Below are 2,531 nucleotides of genomic sequence, written 5' to 3'. Positions count from 1 at the left end.
ATTCATCTTTCCATTTGGAAAGACGATTTTTCCTCCAGAGGACCCACCCTCCCTATAAGGCAATGGGTGCTATGTTCACACCAGGTTATCCTGATCTGAAATAACCTTAACTATAAATCAAACTTGTGTCTTCTAGGGGGCGGTACGTACATTTTATAAAATAAAAAGTTCATGCTTTCAGTTAAAGTTTCTACCCAATAGTCACTCAAAATTCAGCCTCTGATGAGAATACCAGCATTTTTCATTTTAAGTAACTGAAGAAATATAATGTGAAATACAGAAACTCCTTAAAAGTGAAAACCAACTGATAAAACTTTCAGCCTGACAATCATGTGATCACATTAGAAGTCACAGGTCAATGGGGTTTTCTAGATATACAATCATGTCATCTGCAAACAGGGACAATTTGACTTCCTCTTTTCCTAATTGAATACCGTTTATTTCCTTCTCCTGCCTAATTGCCCCGGCCAGAACTTCCAACGCTATGTTGAATAGGAGTGGTGAGAGAAACCCCATTGTCTCAGCCCAAAATCTCCTTAAGCTGATAAGCAACTTCAGCAAAGTCTCAGGATACAAAATCAATGTACCAAAATCACAAGCATTCTTATACACCAACAACAGACAAACAGAGAGCCAAATCATGAGTGAACTCCCATTCACAATTGCTTCAAAGAGAATAAAATACCTAGGAATCCAACTTACAAGGGATGTGAAGGACCTCTTCAAGGAGAACTACAAACCACTGCTCAAGGAAATAAAAGAGGATACAAACAAATGGAAGAACATTCCATGCTCATGGGTAGGAAGACTCAATATCGTGAAAATGGCCATACTGCCCAAGGTAATTTACAGATTCAATGCCATCCCCATCAAGCTACCAATGACTTTCTTCACAGAATTGGAAAAAACTACTTTAAAGTTCATATGGAACCAAAAAAGAGCCCGCATCGCCAAGTCCATCCTAAGCCAAAAGAACAAAGCTGGAGGCATCACACTACCTGACTTCAAACTATACTACAAGGCTACAGTAATCAAAACAGCATGGTACTGGTACCAAAACAGAGATATAGATCAATGGAACAGAACAGAGCCCTCAGAAATAACGCCGCATATCTACAACTATCTGATCTTTGACAAACCTGAGAAAAACAAGCAATGGGGAAAAGAGTCCCTATTTAATAAATGGTGCTGGGAAAACTGGCTAGCCATATGTAGAAAGCTGAAACTGGATCCTTTCCTTACACCTTATACAAAAATCAATTCAAGATGGATTAAAGACTTAAACATTAGACCTAAAACCATAAAAACCCTAGAAGAAAATCTAGGCATTACCATTCAGGACATAGGCATGGGCAAGGACTTCATGTCTAAAACACCAAAAGCAATGGCAACAAAAGACAAAATTGACAAATGGGATCTAATTTAACTAAAGAGCTTCTGCACAGCAAAAGAAACTACCATCAGAGTAAACAGGCAACCTACAAAATGGGAGAAAATTTTTGCAACCTACTCATCTGACAAAGGGCTAATATCCAGAATCTACAATGAACTCAAACAAATTTACAAGAAAAAAACAAACAACCCCATCAAAAAGTGGGCGAAGGACATGAACAGACACTTCTCAAAAGAAGACATTTATGCAGCCAAAAAACACATGAAAAAATGCTCACCATCACTGGCCATCAGAGAAATGCAAATCAAAACCACAATGAGATACCATCTCACACCAGTTAGAATGGCAATCATTAAAAAGTCAGGAAACAACAGGTGCTGGAGAGGATGTGGAGAAATAGGAACACTTTTACACTGTTGGTGGGACTGTAAACTAGTTCAACCATTGTGGAAGTCAGTGTGGCGATTCCTCAGGGATCTAGAACTAGAAATACCGTTTGACCCAGCCATCCCACTACTGGGTATATACCCAAAGGACTATAAATCATGCTGCTATAAAGACACATGCACACGTATGTTTATTGCGGCATTATTCACAATAGCAAAGACTTGGAACCAACCCAAATGTCCAACAATGATAGACTGGATTAAGAAAATGTGGCACATATACACCATGGAATACTATGCAGCCATAAAAAATGATGAGTTCATGTCCTTTGTAGGGACATGGATGAAATTGGAAATCATCATTCTCAGTAAACTATCGCAAGAACAAAAAACCAAACACCGCATATTCTCACTCATAGGTGGGAATTGAACAATGAGATCACATGGACACAGGAAGGGGAATATCACACTCTGGGGACTGTGGTGGGGTGGGGGGAGGGGGGAGGGATAGCATTGGGAGATATACCTAATGCTAGATGACGAGTTAGTGGGTGCAGTGCACCAGCATGGCACATGTATACATATGTAACTAACCGGCACAATGTGCACATGTACCCTAAAACTTATAGTATAATAAAAAAAATCATAAAAAAAAATAAGTCACAGGTCAATTTCATTTAAAATGCATGTTCTTGCAAGATAACATCATAAAAGAATTATTTATTTGTGTATACTTAACAAATATTTTTACA

Source organism: Homo sapiens, chromosome 20 (genome assembly GCF_000001405.40).
Source record: "Homo sapiens chromosome 20, GRCh38.p14 Primary Assembly".
Classification (NCBI taxonomy): domain Eukaryota; kingdom Metazoa; phylum Chordata; class Mammalia; order Primates; family Hominidae; genus Homo; species Homo sapiens.
This window is presented reverse-complemented; position numbering follows the sequence as displayed.